The sequence below is a fragment of the Homo sapiens genome, chromosome 16 (assembly GCF_000001405.40).
Source record: "Homo sapiens chromosome 16, GRCh38.p14 Primary Assembly".
Taxonomy (NCBI): Eukaryota; Metazoa; Chordata; class Mammalia; order Primates; family Hominidae; genus Homo; species Homo sapiens.
In genome coordinates, this window is record NC_000016.10 from 1752785 (window position 1) to 1771881 (window position 19097).

General features: G+C 61.8%; 2 protein-coding genes across 16 annotated transcripts in view, besides 5 other annotated features; one reads left to right on the forward strand and one right to left on the reverse strand.

Moving 5' to 3' along the window:
- MAPK8IP3 (mitogen-activated protein kinase 8 interacting protein 3) overlaps positions 1-17567 on the forward strand; it is a 64157-nt gene extending 46590 nt beyond the window's left edge. For 5 of the 12 annotated variants that reach the window (XM_011522429.3, NM_001318852.2, XM_047433814.1 and 2 more), the window contains 24 exons: positions 5364-5375; positions 6194-6211; positions 7174-7231; positions 7596-7748; positions 8440-8521; positions 9567-9697; positions 9891-9947; positions 10052-10222; positions 10873-10999; positions 11331-11426; positions 11517-11675; positions 12229-12394; positions 13176-13358; positions 13436-13625; positions 13745-13864; positions 13939-14019; positions 14120-14187; positions 14365-14513; positions 14780-14951; positions 15021-15134; positions 15285-15323; positions 15415-15594; positions 15693-15842; positions 15919-17567. In XM_011522429.3, the coding sequence (XP_011520731.1) occupies positions 5364-5375; positions 6194-6211; positions 7174-7231; positions 7596-7748; positions 8440-8521; positions 9567-9697; positions 9891-9947; positions 10052-10222; positions 10873-10999; positions 11331-11426; positions 11517-11675; positions 12229-12394; positions 13176-13358; positions 13436-13625; positions 13745-13864; positions 13939-14019; positions 14120-14187; positions 14365-14513; positions 14780-14951; positions 15021-15134; positions 15285-15323; positions 15415-15594; positions 15693-15842; positions 15919-16040 (2798 nt within the window). In that variant the 3' untranslated portion in view covers positions 16041-17567. Of the gene's footprint in view, positions 1-4548; positions 5000-5363; positions 5376-6193; positions 6212-7173; positions 7232-7595; positions 7749-8439; positions 8522-9566; positions 9698-9890; positions 9948-10051; positions 10223-10872; positions 11000-11330; positions 11427-11516; positions 11676-12228; positions 12395-13175; positions 13359-13435; positions 13626-13744; positions 13865-13938; positions 14020-14119; positions 14188-14364; positions 14514-14779; positions 14952-15020; positions 15135-15284; positions 15324-15414; positions 15595-15692; positions 15843-15918 lie in introns of those variants that run through there. The other 7 variants (XM_047433813.1, XM_005255190.3, XM_047433812.1 and 4 more) reach the window with 6 other exon arrangements.
- Positions 7709-7879: a silencer, noted in NCBI's record as "fragment chr16:1810494-1810664 (GRCh37/hg19 assembly coordinates)". NCBI's record gives its function as "represses an EF-1alpha promoter that drives an FKBP-Casp9 reporter gene in an ReSE screen in HepG2 liver carcinoma cells {active_cell/tissue: HepG2}" and the evidence as "EXISTENCE:reporter gene assay evidence [ECO:0000049][PMID:32094911]".
- Positions 11343-12057: an enhancer, noted in NCBI's record as "H3K27ac-H3K4me1 hESC enhancer chr16:1814128-1814842 (GRCh37/hg19 assembly coordinates)". NCBI's record gives its function as "activates a minimal SCP1, AML or CMV promoter by ChIP-STARR-seq in naive H9 embryonic stem cells {active_cell/tissue: H9 hESC(naive)}" and the evidence as "EXISTENCE:reporter gene assay evidence [ECO:0000049][PMID:30033119]".
- Positions 15835-15884: an enhancer, noted in NCBI's record as "active region_10235". NCBI's record gives its function as "activates an Ori minimal core promoter by ATAC-STARR-seq in GM12878 lymphoblastoid cells {active_cell/tissue: GM12878}" and the evidence as "EXISTENCE:reporter gene assay evidence [ECO:0000049][PMID:35858748]".
- On the reverse strand, positions 17536-18759 carry NME3 (NME/NM23 nucleoside diphosphate kinase 3). Of its 4 annotated transcripts, none has more exons than XM_005255332.5 (5): positions 18705-18759; positions 18496-18626; positions 18286-18387; positions 18105-18209; positions 17536-17982 (listed from the first exon to the last, which is right to left on the reverse strand). In XM_005255332.5, exons 1-5 carry the CDS (start codon positions 18748-18750, stop codon positions 17869-17871), a joined length of 498 nt encoding a protein of 165 aa, XP_005255389.1. In that variant the 5' UTR covers positions 18751-18759; the 3' UTR covers positions 17536-17868. The 4 variants fall into 4 exon arrangements, with proteins under 4 accessions (XP_005255389.1, NP_002504.2, XP_011520805.1 ...); NM_002513.3 differs by having other exon boundaries at positions 18097-18209; XM_011522503.3 differs by having other exon boundaries at positions 18485-18626.
- Positions 17995-18194: a silencer, noted in NCBI's record as "silent region_7000". NCBI's record gives its function as "represses an Ori minimal core promoter by ATAC-STARR-seq in GM12878 lymphoblastoid cells {active_cell/tissue: GM12878}" and the evidence as "EXISTENCE:reporter gene assay evidence [ECO:0000049][PMID:35858748]".
- Positions 18505-19094: a silencer, noted in NCBI's record as "silent region_7001". NCBI's record gives its function as "represses an Ori minimal core promoter by ATAC-STARR-seq in GM12878 lymphoblastoid cells {active_cell/tissue: GM12878}" and the evidence as "EXISTENCE:reporter gene assay evidence [ECO:0000049][PMID:35858748]".

The window sequence follows — 19097 nt, forward strand, 5'->3', positions numbered from 1 at the left end:
AAGTCAGGCAGTCCTGATGAGTGGGGACCTCCTGCTGCTGCAATCTGTTGATGGAAGGTTTTTGAAACAGAGGAGCCTGCTCTCTGGCAACCAGGATGGACAAATGAGCTGGGACCTGCGCCCCTCTGCCCTAATCAACTCGCCCCATGTCCAGCTCAGCTGCAGAATGGGCATGAACTCCTGAAGACAGCAGGAAAAGGAGTACGCCCTTGTGTGGCTGCCAAGCAGGGGAGAGCCTGGAGCCTGCACAGATCTGGGAAAGAGCATCATTTCAGAAACACGTCAGCTTTGCACGTGACGGGAGGGTGCTTCTGCCAAAAGTCGGCAGGTGGAGAGCGACATCCCTCCGTCCAGCGTCTACGTGGGCGGCCCTGCACCTCTCTCAGCATTTTTACTCTGAGTTCCTTTGGTGATGGAGAAATAAAAAGAGCCCAGGTCGGGCATCTGTTGTATTCCATCGAATCTCAGACAACACCAATTTTAAGACTTTTTTGTTTGTTCGTTCGTTTGTTTCCTATAGAGGTAGGCTGTTGCTGTGTTGCCAGGGCTGGTCTCAAACTCCTAGACTCAAGTGATCCTCCCACTTTGGCCTCCCAAATCACACTGGAATTACAGGTGTGAGCCACTGCACCCAGCCCACATACCATTATTTATTTATTTATTTATTTATTTTTGAGACGGAGTCTTGCTCTGTTGCCCAGGCTGGAGTGCAGTGACACGATATCAGCTCACTGCAAGCTCCGCCTCCTGGGTTCACGCCATTCTCCTGCCTCAGCCTCCCGAGTAGCTGGGACTACAGGTGCCTGCCACCATGCCCGGCTAATTTTTTGTATTTTTTAGTAGAGACGGGGTTTCACCATGTTAGCCAGGATGGTCTCGATCTCCTGACCTCATGATCCGCCCACCTCGGCCTCCCAAAGTGCTGGGATTACAGGCGTGAGCCACCGTGCCCAGCCCCACGTACCATTATTTTAGGAATCTTCAAGAAAGAAAAAACTGCTGCAAATTAAACTATAATGTGACAGTGATTGTTTAAGACCTACTGAAATTTCAGAAATGTTAACATGAGGAAAAAAATGTACGTCTTAGAATTGGTATACTAGGACCGGCCGGGCACAGTGGCTCACGCCTATAATCCCAGCACTCTGGGAGGCCGAGGCGGGTGGGTCATGAGGTCAGGAGTTCAAGACCAGCCTGGCCAAGATAGTGAACCCCATCTCTACTAAAAATACAAAAGAATTAACTGAGTGCAGTGGCAGGTACCTGTAATCCCAGCTACTTGGGAGACTGAGGCAGGAGAATTGCTTGAACCTGGGAGGCAGAGGTTGCAGTGAGCCGAGATCGCACCACCGCACTGCAGCCTGGGCAGTAAGAGCGAAACTCTGTCTCAAAAAAAAAAAAAAATTGGCCTAATAGGGAGTAAGGGAATTAATACTCACTGAGTATGTCGCTGGTGCTGGGAGCTGTACCAGCTATTACCGCACTACCTGGTGGGAATTTCACAGCAAATATTCACTAAGGAACTTATTTTTCTGTTTCACAAATGACTAATACTCAGAGAAGTTATACTATGTGCCTTGCATTGCTGAGCGGAATCTGGAATCCACGCAGCTGATCTTTCTCTCCGCTCTGCTCTGCATGGACGAGGCAGCCCTCAGGAGAGATTCCACCGATGTAGTAGCCAGATGTAGAAACTGTCCACAAATAGGCCGGGCACAGTGGTTCATGCCTGTCATCCCAGCACTGTGGGAGGCCAGGGTGGGCGGATCACAAGGTCAGGAGTTCGAGACCACTCTGGCCGACGTGGTGAAACCCCATCTCTACTAAAAATACAAAAATTACCCGGGTGTGGTGGCGGGCCCTGTAGTCCCAGCTACTCAGGAGGCTGAGACAGGAGAATCACTTGAACCTGGGAGGCGGGGGTTGCAGTGAACTGAGATCATGCCACTGCACTCCAGAGCGAGACTCCGTCTCAAAAAAAAAAAAAAAGAAGAAGAAAATATCCACAAATAACCTTGAGAAAAGACAAGCCTGTGTAAGATTCAGAAGCACCATTGAAAGACATAAAAGAAGCTGTACACGCAGAGGGTGTTGCCACGTGCCCGGACCTGAAGACACACCCTGTGAGCTGTCTGCTGACATGACAGGCAGCCCCACCGTTCCCACAGGAATCCGTTCATTACCAGTAAAAATACCCACATGCTTGTTGGAGATTTTTCTGGAACTCTATGAATGGATCTGAAGTTGATCCAGTAGAGGAAACATGTGAGAATATCCCAGAAAATGTGGGGAGAGAAAAAGCTTGCAGGATTCCACATAAAGCTGCGGCAGTTGAGGCAGGCAGCAACAAACCTGTGATACGAGCTCATGAGCTCAGGGCCAAGAGCCAAGACAGACCTGGAGCCATGGGGAATTCATCTATGTATGACAAGTATGGCATCTCAAACCGTGGAAAACGGGCAGATGAGTCAGTAAATGTACTGCCTTAGTTGCTGCTGGTGTAAAATGAAGTCTAAGCCTGACCTCCCCGTAAACAGCAGTGATTTCCAGGTGGATTAAAGATCTAAGTACACAATTACGAGGACAACAGAATGCAGCCGGGTGTGCTGGCACCTGTGGTCCTAGCTACTTGGGCGTCTGAAGTGGGAGGATCACTTGAGCCTGGGAGTTCAAGGATATAGTGAGCCATGATTGTGCCACTGCACTCCAGCGTGGGGGACAGAGCAAGACCCTGTCTCAGAAAAATAAGAACGTCAACAAAGGATAGTAGAACTGGAAAAGGGGCCGGGTGCGGTGGCTCATGCCTGTAATCCCAGCACATTGGGAGGCCAAGGTGGGCGGATCACGAGGTCAAGAGATCGAGACCATCTTGGCCAACATGGTGAAACCCCATCTCTACTAAAAATACAAAAATTACCTGGGCCTGGTGACACATGCCTGTAATCCCAGCTACTCAGAAGACTAAGGCAAGTGAATCGCTTGAACCCGAGACGTGGAGGTTGCAGTGAAGTGAGCCAAGATCGCGCCGTTGCACTCCAGCCTGGTGACAGAGTGAGAGTCTTTCTCAAAAAAAAAAAAAAAAAAGGAAAAGGAAGTTTATAGGCTATACCAATAAACATCTGAAAAGATGCTCAATTTCGGAAATAATAAAGAAATAAAGAGAAAATCAAGAAAACTTTTTCCCTAAAAGATTGAAAATAAGACAATCGAGGCTGACTAGGGTGGAGCAGGTGCTGCCCTACGTGCCAGCCAGGGGTGATGGGTGCAGCCCCACCGAGCACTGGCGGGTGGTAATGGTGGTGGACCAGCAGCTGGAGATGCTCCTTCGAGGGAGCAGTCGGGCAGTCACAGGGCTGAAAAGTACCTCAAGCCCTCACACAGGGACCCCAAGTCTTGGGGGAGCGGGTACAGTGACAGATGATGAGATATTCCCATAGAGAAACACTACAGGGCATTGAAAGCAACCAGGCCAGGGGCGGTGGCTCATGCCTGCCAAGGCAGGTGGATCATTTGAGCTGAGAAGTTCAAGACCAGCCTGGGCAACATGGCAAAACCCCGTCTCTACCAAATACTTAGCTGGGCATGGTGGTGTGCACCCATGGCCCCAGCTACTTGGGAGGCTGATGGGGAGGATTGCTTAAGCCTGGGAGGTGGATCGCGCCACTTCACTCCAACGTGGGTGACAGAACGAGACCCCATCTAAAAAAAGCAACCGGGGTCAGGCACAGTGGCTCACACCCGTAATCCCAGCACTTTGGGAGGCCAAGGTGGGCAGATTGCTTGAGCCCAGGAGTTGAAGACCAGCCTGGGCAACATAGTGAGACCTCATTTTTACTAAAACACACACACACACACACACACACACACACACACACACACACACACAAATTAGCCGGGCGTGGTGGCATGTACCTGTAGACTCAGCTACTCAGGAGGCTGAGGTGGGAGGATCTCTTGAGCCTGGGAGGTCAACGTTGCAGTAAGCTATGATAGTGCCACTGCACTCCAGCCTGAGCAACAGAGTGAGACCCCGTCTCAAAAAATAAATAAAGGCATCCAGGAACCTCAGCACAGGAAAGTCCCATAAAAGTGCTGAGTGGAACACAGGAAGCCTCCCAGAGAGATGGATAATGGGGTCCCGTTTTTGTTCTTTGAAACCTGTTGCTTATCTAGAAGGAAACCTGAGAGGAGAATATTGGCCGTGAGCAGTGGTTGCCCTGGGAAGCCGAGATGAGAGAGAAGGACATCTGCTCTCGAATTGGGAATTGCTTTATTATTGGAATTCCGATAACAAACAGCCGTTTTGTCATCTAAATCAAGTGACATTTTTTTTTTAATTGAGGCGGAGTCTTGCTCTGTCGCCCAGGCTGGAGTGCAGTGGCGTGATCTCAGCTCACTGCAAGCTCTGCCTCCCGGGTTCAGCCACTCTCCTGCCTCAGCCGCCCGAGTAGCTGGGACTACAGGTGCCCGCTACCAGGTCTGGCTGATTTTTTGTATTTTTAGTAGAGACGGGGTTTCACCGCATTAGCCAGGATGGTCTCAATCTCCTGACCTTGTGATCCGCCCGCCTCGGCCTCCTAAAGTGCTGGGATTACAGGCGTGAGCCACCACGCCCTGCTCAAGTGACTTTTTAATGCCATTTTCCTTTCTGTGTGAAACAACCAAGTAGAAGAGAACCGCGTCCTCACCTCTGTTGGAGGAAGTGGTGTTTTCCCGCAGAGCGTTTCCCTCGCCAGCCTCCTGTGCAGGGAGGGGCCAGGACCCAGTGAGGATGCCTCGCCCGCCCCACGCTCCCCAGCCCTCCTCTGCTTTCTGGCATGTTCTCTCTGCCCTCCACAGTGGGGCCCTTGCTCCCATTGTGACTTCAGTCATCCTTCACCGAGGTCCTGCCCTACCCAGGCTGACCCAGAAGCCTAGGAGTCCAGCTCCAGGCCTGCGTCTGCGGTGTCTCCCTCGCCGCTCTCTCCCTCGCCCACGCTGGGGGGCTTTTGGAGACTGGGTACCTGCCACACCCTGCCACACACACTCTCCTCTTCACAGGCCTGCATCATGGGGGCTGCGGGGGGCCTGCCCTCCTGATGGGCGATGGGAGCAGAGGGCAGCAGGCTTCCGGGTCAGGGCTCGGCAACACAGCCCTGGGCTGGACCACGGCGCCTGGGCCTGGTTCCCTGCAGGCCTCTGCCTGGGCACACGGGGCACCGGGACCTGCTGGAGGCTGCTCCCTCTCTCTCCTGCCCTGCAACATGGGAGCAGCCGAATCATTGCTGGGTTTTCTGTAATAAGAATGTATTGTTAGTTCCAGTCCCTAATTGACCTTTGTCCCTTCCTTCCCCTGCCTCTCTGTGCGTCGCTGGACTCGCCAGGGGAGTTCTCAGGTGAGTATCTCACTCTCCTGTCTGTCTCCCCTCTGTGTGACGGGGGGAGTGGGTGGACGGGGGATGCCCCGAGCTATCCCGTCACCGTGGCTGTGTGGACTGCCCCCCACGTCGCCGCAGCGCCTCTGCTTCTGCTCGCAGCCACCGCCGCTCGGAAGCTTGTTCGGTTTGCTCCACCAGCCACTTGACAATGACCTGGATATCCAACCCCCCCAGCCTGAGGAGTCCCCCGCGGGCCATTTCTGAAGGCCCTGCGGAGCCCTAAGCCACGCACGGCAGTGACTGGACATGGCCAAGGCCAGCTCTGGGGCCTCCCCTGCTGTCAGGCACACCCCAGAAGTCAGGGGTCCTTGAAGCCCCTACGAAGCCCAGCCCGGGGTCCCCTCCCCACGTGGGTGGACAGGCCGAGTCCTGCTCTCTGGCTGCACAGCAGGAGGCTCCGAGGCCCCACCCAGAGGCTGTCCAGATGCAGCCCCCCAGCCTCCAGGCACAGCCCATCCCCACAGGGGTGCCTTCTGCCCTCAGCCCCACCCAGCCCAGAATTTGGGGTGAGATGTTAGCTTCCTGCTCCACAGGTGACACTGGCCTGGCAGTCTTCATGTAACCCCAAGGATAAACTTTCCAGAAGGAATAGCTGGCTCCATCCCATCTCCTGCCCTCCTAACTCCCTCCTGCACCCACCCTAACCCAGCAGACCCAGCTCTGAATTCCTCCCAGCCTGCTGTCCACACGGGCTTAACGCGCTTCTCTTCTCTCCCTTTCTCCCTCTCCTCCCGCCCTGGTTGCCCATCTCCTGTGGGACGGGGACGGCTCCCTAGTGCGCGATGATTTCTTTGGTAAGGCTGAGGCCCCGTTCCAGCGTGCGTCGCTCCTCCACCCCGACATGGTCTCCTGCTTCATGAGCCGTTTGCTTTGTTCTGCATGATGGGGACAGTGTTGGGGCCGCCGGGGTCAGGGGGGCAGCCCTGAGTGAAGCTCGCTCTGTCCAGGCTGCCTCTGGGCTGTGGGAGGTGGCGACTTCCCCAAGGGACAGACTTGAAGGCCCGAGGAGGGCAGCCCCAGCCTCTCTGAACCCCACAAGCGCCGGGCAGACCCTGCCTGTGGGGAGGAAGGCCCATGTTTGAGGCAAGGGAGGTCATAATAGAGACAGCAGGCAGGACCCCTGAGCCCAGGCACAGAGGCGTGTGATGCTGTTTCATGACTGCATACACAGTGGGGGAGTGTGTGGGAGGGCAGGACCTTGGAGTTTCTTTCCATCCTTTTGGGGTTTCTGGGGCATGCTTGCAGGGAGATCAGTCCAGGTCCACTTGGGGCCTCGTGGTAGAGGAGCCTTCAGTCCTGCCAGGGAGCCCTGTCCTCACAGCCGCGCCCCATCGCCGCACCCCAGCCCTGCTGGCCCTGCCGTGAGGGCCAGGCCTCTCCTTGCCCACCTGTCCCCTCACCGCAGCTCCAACATCACTCGCCTAGGGTGGTGGCTCCGAGAGGGCCTGCCTGGTGACAGACCTGCTGGGGGCACTGAGATGGCAGCCCAGCGGCCATTCAGGGGCCTGCGTCCGGCCAGCTGGCCTGTGACATTGGTCGGACATGAGAACCACCCCAAGGCCTGGGAGCCTGCTCTGTGCACAGACTGCGGGCCCAGCATGAGCCCCGCCCTTCACGGCCCCCGCTCCCTGTAGATCGGGCGTCATCCCCAGCCAGGCTACCCTCTTTGGAAGCGTTGTTGCCCTGAGGCAGGTGCGGCGGCATCAGTGACCTGTTTTGAAGGGCACAGGTGAAACCTCCGCACCTTCTGTTTCAGGAATGGGCAAAGAAGTGGGGAATCTGCTACTGGAAAACTCACAGCTTCTGGAAACCAAGTAAGAGTGCCCTTCTCCTGTGTGGTGGGGCTGAGGCAGCCCTCCTTGTCAGGGCTGGGAGAGTGAGCCGGGCCAGAGGGCGCCTTGGGGAGCACCTGGCTCCAACGCCAGCAGCTGTCCTCATCTCTGGCGGGAGGAACTTGGAGCAGGACTCTGCCTGGTTTCTTTACGAAGCTTGTCTCCAGGAGCCTCTAACAAGGGTGCTATAGGGTTTAGCTAAGATGGGGATGGGGTCTCCCATTCAGCCACCTTCCTAACCAGGCTGTGCCTTCTCCAGGGCGGAAGTGCAGGCGCCCCTGGCAAGGCCCCTTCACGTACCTGTATGCCGCGCCCGTGGCACTCCCATCTTTCTGCTTTTTCAAAGAAACGCCTTGAATGTGGTGAAGAATGACCTGATTGCCAAGGTCGACCAGCTGTCCGGGGAGCAGGAGGTGCTGAGGGGCGAGTTGGAGGCTGCTAAGCAGGCCAAAGTCAAGCTGGAAAACCGTATCAAGGAGCTGGAAGAGGAACTGAAAAGGTGAGGGCAGGGCATGGAAAGCTGGTCAGAGAGGGACCCCGGCCTCAGGGCTCTGGAGTGGCTGCCTCCTCCAGTGCCTGCTCTCCAGCCTGAGCGGCTCTGTGCATAGCCTACCTACCTCCAGCTCCAGCTCACAGCCACTCCACCCCAACCAGCAGAGTGGGGCCGTGGTCTCCTCCTGAGCCTCCTACAGCACACGCTGGGCCTGTCTCACGCGTTCCTTCTCTGCACAGCTCCCACCATCCCACTCCTCCAGCCCTTTGATCAGCCAAGGTTTGGCCACGGCCCCCGGAGAGCTGTATGTTGGGGCTCCAGCCCTTCTCTGATGGACAGAGGAGGTGTGGGCGCTCCGAGACCATGCCTCTGCCTAAGAAGGGACCCAGATCTGCTCTGGGTTTGCCAAAGCCAGGGCCCCTCTGCTTTGCTCCCCCTCCGCATTCCCGGGCAGCCAGGATGGACGGCTGGGCTTCAGAGCACTCATGCAGCAGTGGCTCAGGGCCACCTGTCCCCAGGGAACTGGAAGAAGCGTTCAGGGCCCTGAACCAAACGGCTGCTGAAGGGGTCCCTGTGGGGAGAGCCCCCAGCCCTGCACAGAGGCAAGGACACAGGTTCGGGGCGGGCACTGCCCGCTATGTGTTCCCGAGGCCCCTGGGAGGCCCTCACCCTCCCTGCCTCCTTCCCCTTCCCACAGAGTGAAGTCCGAGGCCATCATCGCCCGCCGTGAACCCAAAGAAGAGGCGGAGGATGTAAGCAGCTATCTCTGTACAGAATCGGTACATCCACTCTTCACTCTTCACATGCGGGGCGTCCACCATTCACTTTTCACAGGCGGGGCGGCCACCGTTCACCATTCACACACAGGGTGACCACCATTCACCATTCACAGGCAGAGCGGCCACCATTCACCATTCACAGGCAGAGCGGCCACCATTCACCATTCACAGGCGGGGCGGCCACCATTCACCATTCACAGGCGGGGCGGCCACCATTCACCATTCACAGGCAGGGCGGCCGCCATTCACCATTCACACACAGGGCGACCACCATTCACCATTCACAGGCAGAGCGGCCACCATTCACCATTCACAGGCGGGGCGGCCACCATTCACCATTCACAGGCGGGGCGGCCACCATTCACCATTCACAGGCGGGGCGGCCACCATTCACCATTCCCAGGCGGGGCGGCCACTGTTCCCACACATTCACACGCCGGGTGACCACTGTTCATACGCATTCACACGTGGGGCAGCCATCATTCCCACACATTCACACGCTGGGCGGCCACCATTCACCATTCACCATTCACACACAGTATATCCTACTATTCACACTCGGGGCATGGGGATGCGGGGTGCCTCCCGGGGACTCACCGGCGCTTCTGTCTCTGTACAGAATCAGTATATCCCACAATTCACATGCAGGGCTGGGGTGGGCACGGGCAGGGGGCCCAGGCGGGCTCCTGGGGACTCGCCGGCTGTTCTGGGCTGACAGCTCTCCCACCCCTCCTGGGTGACACCTGACCCCAGCGGCATCATCTGCCACCCCACTCCTGAGACCACATGGAGTCAGAATCAGGCCCTTGGGCAGGACCACAGCCCTGGCAGGATGCCGGGTCCCCTGTCAGCACCCAAGTCCTGGTGCATGCCTTTTGTATGGTTCCCCTCCCCGCTTGCCGACACCCCTCCACACCGCTTCTTGCCTGAGGATCTGAAGGAAATTGGCACTGAGATCCACCTATACGTGTAGGCACCCCAGGAGGAAGCAGGTGTCACCCGGCCTCCGAGGGCTGGCTGAGCCTCTGTGCCCCTCCCTCCGCAGGACAAAATCCCCATGGCCCAGCGCCGCCGCTTCACGCGGGTGGAGATGGCCCGTGTGCTCATGGAGCGGAACCAGTACAAGGAGCGGCTGATGGAGCTGCAGGAGGCTGTGCGGTGGACTGAGATGATCAGGTGGGAGTTGCGGCCACCCCAGGAGGGGCTGCGGGATCATCCCTGACGGCAGGACTGCGGCTCCCTCCTCTGCACCTCCCTGTCTTCTGGGGGGACTGAAGTGCGCTGGGTGCTTCCTGGCGGGAGCCAGAGAGTCGCAGGTAAGGGAGGCGTGAGGGCACTAGCAGGTTGCTCCCTGTGCCCTCCCCTGCAGAGCGTCCCGAGAGCACCCATCCGTCCAGGAGAAGAAGAAGTCGACCATCTGGCAGTTGTAAGCTGGGGGCCCCTGGGGGATGTGGGCAGCAGCTGCAGGGGAAGGGGCAGGGAGGTTCCCTGGTCCTCTGCCCACCCCTCACCTCCCTGTGCCTCTGGCAGCTTCAGCCGCCTCTTCAGCTCTTCCTCCAGCCCCCCTCCGGCCAAGCGCCCCTATCCCTCGGTGAACATCCACTACAAGTCACCCACCACTGCCGGCTTCAGCCAGCGCCGCAACCATGCCATGTGCCCGATCTCGGCAGGCAGCCGGCCCCTGGAATTCTTCCCTGACGAGTGAGTGTCCCGCAGCCCCCACTTGTGGCCTGCAATGGGGTTGGGGAGGCCCTGTCCTGAGGCTCCTCCCCTCCAGGCCCTGAAGCGGGACTTTGAGGGCAGCCTCCACCTTGCTGGCCACATGCCAGGGGCCGTGACCTCTCCCTGCACACTGCCTGCCCCTCCCTGCAGCGGGGAGCTGGGCTGCTTTGGCTCCACGGTATTTGGTTCAGGATGTCCCTTGGCAGAGGCTGTGCCCACCAACAGTCAGGGGGCTGTGCTGGGCTCCACGGTGGCCTCTGCAGCAAGGAGCCGTTTCAGGCGTCTGTCCAGCAGGGAGTCGCTGGTCATGCCTGTGCCCCGGCGGCACTCCAGGTCCCGGTCTGTGGAACCCTCAGTGACTGTGGCAGCAGAGCAGCCTCTGGGTCGAGCAGGGGCCAGCTGTGGCCTCCAAGCCCAGGGGCATAGCCGGTGCCAGGAAAGCCACCCTTCCCAGCTGGGCACCCAGTGCCGGGAAAGCCACCCTTCCCAGCTGGGCACCCGGTGGCCGGGAAAAGGCGAGGATGGGCCCAGGCGGGCCTCCCTGCCGTGACCTCCCCCAGGACAAGCCTGGGGCACTGTGGGGGCCGCTCACCCTGGACAGAGACATCACCCATCATTCTTCCACTCAGCGACTGCACGTCCTCCGCCCGTCGAGAGCAGAAGCGCGAGCAGTACCGCCAGGTGCGTGAGCACGTGCGTAACGACGACGGCCGTCTGCAGGCCTGCGGCTGGAGCCTGCCCGCCAAGTACAAGCAGGTGCGGGCGGGCGCTGCGGGGACCGGGCGGGGCCCCGCAGAGGCGGGGCGGGGGTAAGGGGCGGGGCGCTGTGGGGCGGGGAGAGGGCGGGGCAGTGCTAGGGGGTGGGAGAGGACGGCGGGTGGGGCGGGGCCTGGCAGGTTCCTAGTGAGCCTCCTGGGCAGGGGTCTGGAGGGTCGGAGAAGGAGCCCCGCGGCTCCCACGCCCCCACCTGCCTCCAGTCTTGAAGTGGCTGTGCCGCCAGAAGCTGGCAGCCCTACCTGTCTCAGATTTCTGGAGGGATGGGTAGGAGCCAGGGTTCGTGCCCACGGCGCCTCCCTGCTCCCTGCAGCTGAGTCCCAACGGGGGCCAGGAGGACACGCGGATGAAGAACGTGCCGGTGCCGGTGTACTGCCGCCCTCTGGTGGAGAAGGACCCCACCATGAAGGTGAGCCCGCGAGGACCCCGCTCAGGCTGGCTGGGCGAGCGGGAGGCTGGGGAGTGCCGGTGACACCCGACCTCGGCCCTGCCCTTGCAGCTGTGGTGTGCCGCGGGCGTCAACCTGAGCGGGTGGAGGCCCAATGAGGACGACGCTGGGAATGGAGTCAAGCCAGCGCCAGGCCGCGATCCCCTGACCTGCGACCGCGAAGGAGACGGCGAGCCCAAGAGCGCCCACACGTCTCCCGAGAAGAAGAAGGTGAGCATGGCCGAGGCCACCGGGCACCCTCCCTGGCTTAGTCTCAGGACAGCTCAGCTGCAGAGCATGCTGGGAGTGAGACACAGGACAGCTGGGGACAGCACCCGGAAGCAGGGCAGCGCAGGGGCTCCTAGACTGCGGGAAGCAGTGTCTTCCCTCACCAGGACTGAGCCGCCTTCTGGGTTTTCAGTTTTCACCCCCCAGGTGGCCTGGAGTGGGCCTGCACTGGGCTGCAGGGGTCAGGCAGGCAGCAGGCACAGAGGAGCCCAGGAGCGGCAGAGCTTGCCTCCCAGTGGTGGGAGGCTTAGTTTTATGCCCAGCTTGGGCCTCTTGGAGCTCAGGGGCCTCTTCTGTGGAGGCGAAACCGTGTCTGTGAGTGCTTTAGAGTGCAGTCCTGAGTCCGCATTGTTCTGGTCCTGGGGGAGGACAGCCATGTCCCCTCAAGCTGTAGTCAAGGCTGGATCCTGACAGATTCTGGGAGCCCCATGGCCCTGTGCTGCCACCGGGTAGCCTCAAGCTCGGGCTCTGACCTTGATCCCGTGCCCTGAAACAGGCCAAGGAGCTCCCTGAAATGGACGCCACCTCCAGCCGGGTGTGGATCCTGACCAGCACCCTGACCACCAGCAAGGTGGTGATCATCGACGCCAACCAGCCGGGCACGGTGGTGGACCAGTTCACCGTCTGCAACGCGCACGTGCTGTGCATCTCCAGCATCCCCGGTGAGCAGCTGGAGTGGGCGTTTCCACTCGGGCGCCACTCCCTTTTACTAGCAAGCTAAGTAAAAGCCCTGCCACACAGCAGCTGCCTTCTCGGGGTGTCCTGTGGACACGGGAATGTGGCAGTGGACGGTGGGAGGGGCAGCACCCAGTCAAGTGAGGCCCTGGGCCCTGTTTCTGGGAGGAAGCTCGCGGCAGCCTCGGCCTCTTCTCCCTACCTACTCAGGACCCCACGCTTACCTGGTTAGAGGGTGACGGGTGGGCACGGCCTGCAGCTTGAAGCATCACTCGGAGACCACAGGAAAACATTTCCTCATGCTGAATGTGAAACCTCCAGTTGGGCCGAAGGGGCTATGGGGGTGTGGGTGAGGAGCTTCGTGTCACCCCTGTGGGCAGTAGCCTTGGTGATGTTCTGGGCCAGCCCCAACACTGGGAGGACGAAGGGGTGCCGAGGGCTCTGCCAGGTCTCTGGTGTGAAACCACAGGGCCGTCTGGGGTCCTGAGGGTCTGCCACAGGATCACAGGTTGTTTGCTCCCAGAACCAGAGTCTTACTACTCAGCTCCCCTTGGCCCAGGGGCCTACCCAACAGAGCAGGCTTGCTGGAGTCCCAGACCTCCAGGCAGAGGGTCGTGGGTGGGCTGTGGGTGGAGCATGTGTGGAAGCTGGGTCTGCTGGGAAAGTGGAAGGCCAGCCCCGGCTTCCTCTGCCCCTGTGTAAGTGCTGGGCACGCCCTTGCAGTAGTGGGTTCCCCCGCACAGGCTGACGGGCCGTCCCTCTCCCCAGCGGCCAGCGACAGCGACTACCCTCCCGGGGAGATGTTCCTGGACAGCGACGTGAACCCAGAGGACCCGGGCGCAGATGGCGTGCTGGCCGGTATCACCCTGGTGGGCTGTGCCACCCGCTGCAACGTGCCGCGGAGCAACTGCTCCTCCCGAGGGGACACCCCAGTGCTAGACAAGGGGCAGGGTGAGTCCTGGGCGAGTTTCCCCCATCCCCTCATTCCCACGTTTCTGCCCAGCCCAAGCTCACCTCTCCTAACACAGGGGAGGTGGCCACCATCGCCAACGGGAAGGTCAACCCGTCCCAGTCCACAGAGGAGGCCACAGAGGCCACGGAGGTGCCAGACCCTGGGCCCAGCGAGCCAGAGACAGCCACATTGCGGCCCGGGCCTCTCACAGAGCACGTCTTCACTGACCCAGCCCCGACCCCGTCCTCTGGCCCCCAGCCTGGCAGGTGAGCTCTTGGGCTGGGGCAGGAGCAGAGGGAAGGCTTGCAGAGGTGGGAAGGGCCTCGGGGTCTTGGGGCAGGTGCGTGCTCCGTGGCCCCCCCTGGAGCCACCGTTCTTCCTGCAGCGAGAACGGGCCAGAGCCTGACAGCAGCAGCACACGGCCAGAGCCAGAGCCCAGCGGGGACCCCACGGGAGCAGGCAGCAGTGCTGCACCCACCATGTGGCTGGGAGCCCAGAACGGCTGGTAGGAAGGGCCCGGGGCAAGGTGGAGGGAGGGTCCTGGGTGAGCCCCTCGCCCATCGCCGCTTCCTTCCCTAGGCTCTATGTGCACTCGGCTGTGGCCAACTGGAAGAAGTGCCTGCACTCCATCAAGCTGAAGGATTCTGTGCTGAGCCTGGTGTGGGTGACCCCAGACCGAGGGCCGGGCGGCGCGGGGGAACGGGGCGGAGGGGGCTGGCACAGCCTGGCCCAAACCAGGCTCACCGCATTCCTGTTTCAGGCATGTCAAAGGCCGTGTGCTGGTGGCTCTGGCGGACGGGACCCTGGCCATCTTCCACCGTGGTGAAGGTGGGGCCTGGCAGCACGGGGTGTGTGGGTGGCAGCTGATGGCCCTGGCATTGTTTAGCCAAGGGGCTCCCGGGGTTCCAGGCCTCTCCTTAGTCTGGCAGTGGGTGTCTCAACCCGATGCCCTGAGCAGAGGTGGGGCCTGGCCAGGCCTGAGCAGGTGTCCGGGGCTCCCTCCAGATGGCCAGTGGGATCTGAGCAACTATCACCTAATGGACCTGGGCCACCCGCACCACTCCATCCGCTGCATGGCTGTTGTGTACGACCGCGTGTGGTGTGGCTACAAGAACAAGGTGCACGTCATCCAGCCCAAGACCATGCAGATAGAGGCGAGTGCCGGCCAGGGCCCCGGGGAGGGGAAGAGGCTCCTGCTGGCCAGCAGCTCTCCCGCATCTTCCATACGGAAGTCCACGAGGCCCTACGTGGGTCCCATCTCCCCTGTACCACCTATGACTCAGGCTCGAACAGGCGCAAAGCAGGCGCTGGCTGGGAGGTCTGAGGGGACTGCAGGTGGCCCTGGAGCTGTGGCAGGTTTGGGGCTCCCCACTTCCTCTCCTCTCCCCAGCCCTGTTGATGGGCAGCCATGACTCCACAGAAGTCATTTGACGCCCACCCGCGGCGGGAGAGCCAGGTGCGGCAGCTGGCGTGGATCGGCGATGGCGTATGGGTGTCCATCCGCCTGGACTCCACCCTGAGGCTCTACCATGCACACACGCACCAGCATCTACAGGACGTGGACATTGAGCCCTACGTCAGCAAGATGCTAGGTGAGGGGCCACGCCAGATGGGGTGGTGGGGTGCTCAAGGCCAGCCACCCTGACCGCTCTCCCCCACAGGCACTGGCAAGCTGGGTTTCTCCTTCGTACGCATCACGGCCCTGCTTGTCGCGGGCAGCCGGCTCTGGGTGGGCACCGGCAACGGAGTGGTCATCTCCATCCCCCTGACAGAGAGTGAGTGGCCTGCACACCTGCAGGGGCAGTGGTGCTGCCAGAGGTGTACGTGGGTTCACGGGGTGGCTCTGCAGGGCCACCTTGGAGGGTGCCTTGCTGCCCCTACGCTGACCGCTCTCCTCTTCTCCCATGCTCCTCCCATGTCCCCAGCTGTGGTCCTGCACCGAGGCCAGCTCCTGGGGCTCCGAGGTAAGCCCAGCCACCTCGTGTCCCCTCACGGGAGCCTCTCCCACTCTCCACCTGTATGCGGGCTCAGCGCCTCTGGGTTCTCTCCCTGCAGCCAATAAGACATCCCCCACCTCTGGGGAGGGCGCCCGTCCCGGGGGCATCATCCACGTGTATGGCGATGACAGCAGTGACAGGGCGGCCAGCAGCTTCATCCCCTACTGCTCCATGGCCCAGGCCCAGCTATGCTTCCATGGGCACCGCGATGCCGTGAAGTTCTTTGTCTCGGTGCCAGGTGAGGCTGGGCCCCTCCTGCCATCCACATCCCCTGCATGCCAGTGGCCGCCGCCTCCCCCAGGAGGCCGCTGTCCTGAATCGCTTCTGCCATCCCAGGGAACGTGCTGGCCACCCTGAATGGGAGTGTGCTGGACAGCCCAGCCGAGGGCCCTGGGCCAGCTGCCCCTGCCTCGGAGGTCGAGGGCCAGAAGCTGCGGAACGTGCTGGTGCTGAGCGGCGGGGAGGGCTACATCGACTTCCGCATTGGTGAGCGGGGCCCAGGGACAGGGCTGAGGTTGGGCGCGGGGGGAGCCTGGCCGTCACTCTGCTGCTTTGCCCGCAGGAGACGGAGAGGACGACGAGACGGAGGAGGGCGCAGGGGACATGAGCCAGGTGAAGCCCGTGCTGTCCAAGGCAGAGCGCAGTCACATCATCGTGTGGCAGGTGTCCTACACCCCCGAGTGAAGCTGCTGCCCTGCCTGGCCCGACCTGTACATAGGACCCCCGACCACCTGACCCCCGCCCGGCCCGCGGGGTAGCCAGCCAGGCGCCGCCGCCCCTCTTCTAACCTCTCAACCTGCAGCTTTCACCTGAGTCTGGCCCCTCCAGCGGGCAGGGAGTGCGGGGATGCGGATCAGCTGGGAGGAGGAGGGGAGGGGAACTTCCACCCGAGGGGAAGATGCTCTCGGGACAGTTTCCCGGGCAGCTCCTGGCCAGCTTCCAGCCCAGAGTCCTCAAGTCCAGGGCACCTTGGGCCCAGCGCAGGCAGAATCCGAGGTGGTCCTGGCTCTACCCTGGGCCTCCTACTCCCCAGCACCCCTGGAGGAGGCAGGGGCTCCCCGCCGCCGAGGCTGCCTGCCCTGGGCCCACCTCTGCATGCTGCTCATGGGGCCACCCTGCCTCCTGGGCCCTCACTCTGCCTAGGGGAGCTGGGCCAGGCACTAGCCTTTGCCCAGGGAGGTGGGCCTCAGGCTGCCCAGGTGCCTGCACCCCAGCCGGCCTTCTCTGGGGCCTCCCCGTCGTCAAGCCTCTATCCTGTCTGTCCCCACCCCAGCTGTCCCCTGCCCAGGGAGCTGGCATAAAAGCACGAGGCCCGGCTCCCTGGGGCAGCTGCTTGAGAACAGAGACTGCTACCCCATCCTGCCCATGCAGGCAGGCTCTTGCCAGCCCCGTTCTGACCCGTGTCCCCCCAGGCTCTGCCTGGGCAGAAGACTCACCTTGGAGGAGTGGGCCCTGGAGTCCTGTCCCTCCCAGAAGCCCCCAGGGTGGGATTTCTCAGGCTGCCAGGGCAGGCCCAGGCCTCAGGAAGAAGGGGAGGCCCCTGGCCTCTCCGGGATCAGTCCTAGGACACAGGCTCAGCCTCAGGTTGATGGGGGATGATGTGCTCCCGGGGCCTGCCTCCTGCACGGGGCTCCACGGAGCCCAGCTCCCAGACACGCTACTAAGTGCCTAGGGTTGCCCGCTGTGGCCTGCTTCCAGGGAGCAACAGAGAGGCCACCAAGCAGAGGCCCGTGGGGCTGAGGATGGAGCCGCCCCCAGCCGACTCCAAGCCCGCAGAGGGCAGACGCCACCCTGGACTGCTCTCCCTGCCCAGCTGGGCCTCTCTGGCCTATTCCTACCTTCCAGGCCCACTGCACTCCTGTCTGGGAGGCCCTTATGAGGGCAGCCCAGCCCCCGCACCCACCCCCAACCAGAGAAGCACAGATCTTGGGGAGCTGCCCCACAAGCCCCGCTGGCCACCGAGGGCTGCAGCCGCTGCGCTGCCGGCTTCTCCCCACCACCCTGCCACCTCCACTGTGATGTATGTCCGCTCCCTCGTCTGTTCCCCCAGGATCTCGAAGTGACTCCGGGCTGAGCAGTGGGGCGGCTGGGGGAGGGGTGACGATTCTCCTCAGGCTTTGGCCCTGCAAGCAAACCCACATATCTGCTCTGTATGTAATAAATGTCTTAACGTCGTAGCTGCCTGTTCCTGGGCCCAAATCGAAACGAAAACGAGGACTTTATTATAAAAAAACGTTGGACCACGTTGGGCTGGGCACCAGGACAGTGTCCTGGCACGTTTCCAGGCGAGCCGCGCAGGCTCCTGGAGCAGCTCCTCGGGCAGGAAACCCTGTACGCCAGGGATTGGAGAGGCCTGCGCCACCCTCCATGCAACGTCCAGACAGGTGGATGTTCAGCAGCCCGTCCAAAGGGATGCTCCAAGCGCTGTGGGGTGGGGCCAGAAGCCCGCCCACCTGGGCCCTGGAGGAGGCTGGAGTGTGAGAGCCTCTGTGACGCGCATCTGCCGGGCTACTCATACAGCCAGTGCCCAGCGCTGTCCTCCCAGCAGAGGAGCTCGTCTGCGCGGAACCAGAGAGCGATCTCGCGGCGGGCACTCTCCACCGAGTCGCTGCCGTGAATCAGGTTCCTGCGCGGAAGAGGCGCGTGTGAGCGTGGGAAAGAGACCTCCGGCACGGGTACCACGCAGGCTGAACAGGGGGAGGCCGGACGGGGCTGGGACCGTCCCCGGGGCGGGCCTTACTTGCCAACCTCGATGCAGAAATCCCCGCGGATGGTGCCGGGCGGGGCGTCGGCCGGGTTCGTGGCTCCGATGAGCGCCCGCGAGGTGCGCACCACGTCCAGCCCCTGCCATACCTGTGCGGAGGAACGGGCGCGGTATCACGCGGGGGTGGGGGTCCCGGAGCCGCCCGCCCGCTTCCCGGATACTCACCATGGCCACCACCGGCCCGGAGGCCATATACTTGACAAGGCGGCCGTAGAACGGGCGTTCACGCAGCTCGGCGTAGTGCTCACGCAGCAGCTCCTCGGAGGCCTGCGGAAGGGTCAGGCCGCCTGCGCCCGCACCCGGCACCTAGGCGTCCCCAGGTCCCCGCTCCCCTTCCCCCCACACCGCGCCCCCGCTCGCTCACCGCGCCCCCACCTGCACCAGCTTCAGCGCCACCAACTTGAAGCCCTTCCTCTCGAAGCGCCGCACAATCTCGCCCACCAGCCGCCGCTGCACGCCGTCCGGCTTCACGGCCAGGAAGGTGCGTTCGTGTGCGCCGGTGCAGGCTGCGGGGCAGGCGGGGACGGGCCGTCAGGCCGGCCCAGCACCGGCCACCCGCCCCCGGCCCGCGCCGCGCGGCTCACCCGCGGGGAAGAGGTTAGCGAAGATGGTCAGCACCAGGCAGATCATGATGGCGGTGCGGGAGCGGGATCCGCGGGGCGGGGCGGTGGCGCCCGGGGCGGGGCCTGCGCTTAAAGAGGCCTGGTCGGGGCGCTGCGGCCTCCGCGGGGAGGCTGCTTCACTTGCACCCCGGAACCCGGCAGCCGTGGGGGGCCGGAGGGCAGCTGCGGAGGCCAAGTCTCCTCCAGCAGCTCGGACACTAACTGTATCCCCCACAACCCGCCCAGGTGGTTCCACCCACGCGGCGCCCTGCTCCGCACCGCCCGAACCCCGCCCCCCCCGCGCCCCCCCGGCCAGGGCCACGACCACAGCGTCAGCCCTTCTCTCCCCGGTCCTAAAGACAGAGCGCAAAGACA

Excerpts from the sequence above, each read along its gene's own strand:
- NME3 (XM_011522503.3), bottom strand. The coding sequence starts at position 18,750 with ATGATCTGCCTGGTGCTGACCATCTTCGCTAACCTCTTCCCCGCGG. Across the intron at positions 18,627-18,704 it reads CGCTAACCTCTTCCCCGCGG|CCTGCACCGGCGCACACGAA; the intron begins GTGAGCCGCGCG and ends CCTGCCCCGCAG. Across the intron at positions 18,388-18,484 it reads CTGGTGCAGGTGGGGGCGCG|GCCTCCGAGGAGCTGCTGCG; the intron begins GTGAGCGAGCGG and ends ACCCTTCCGCAG.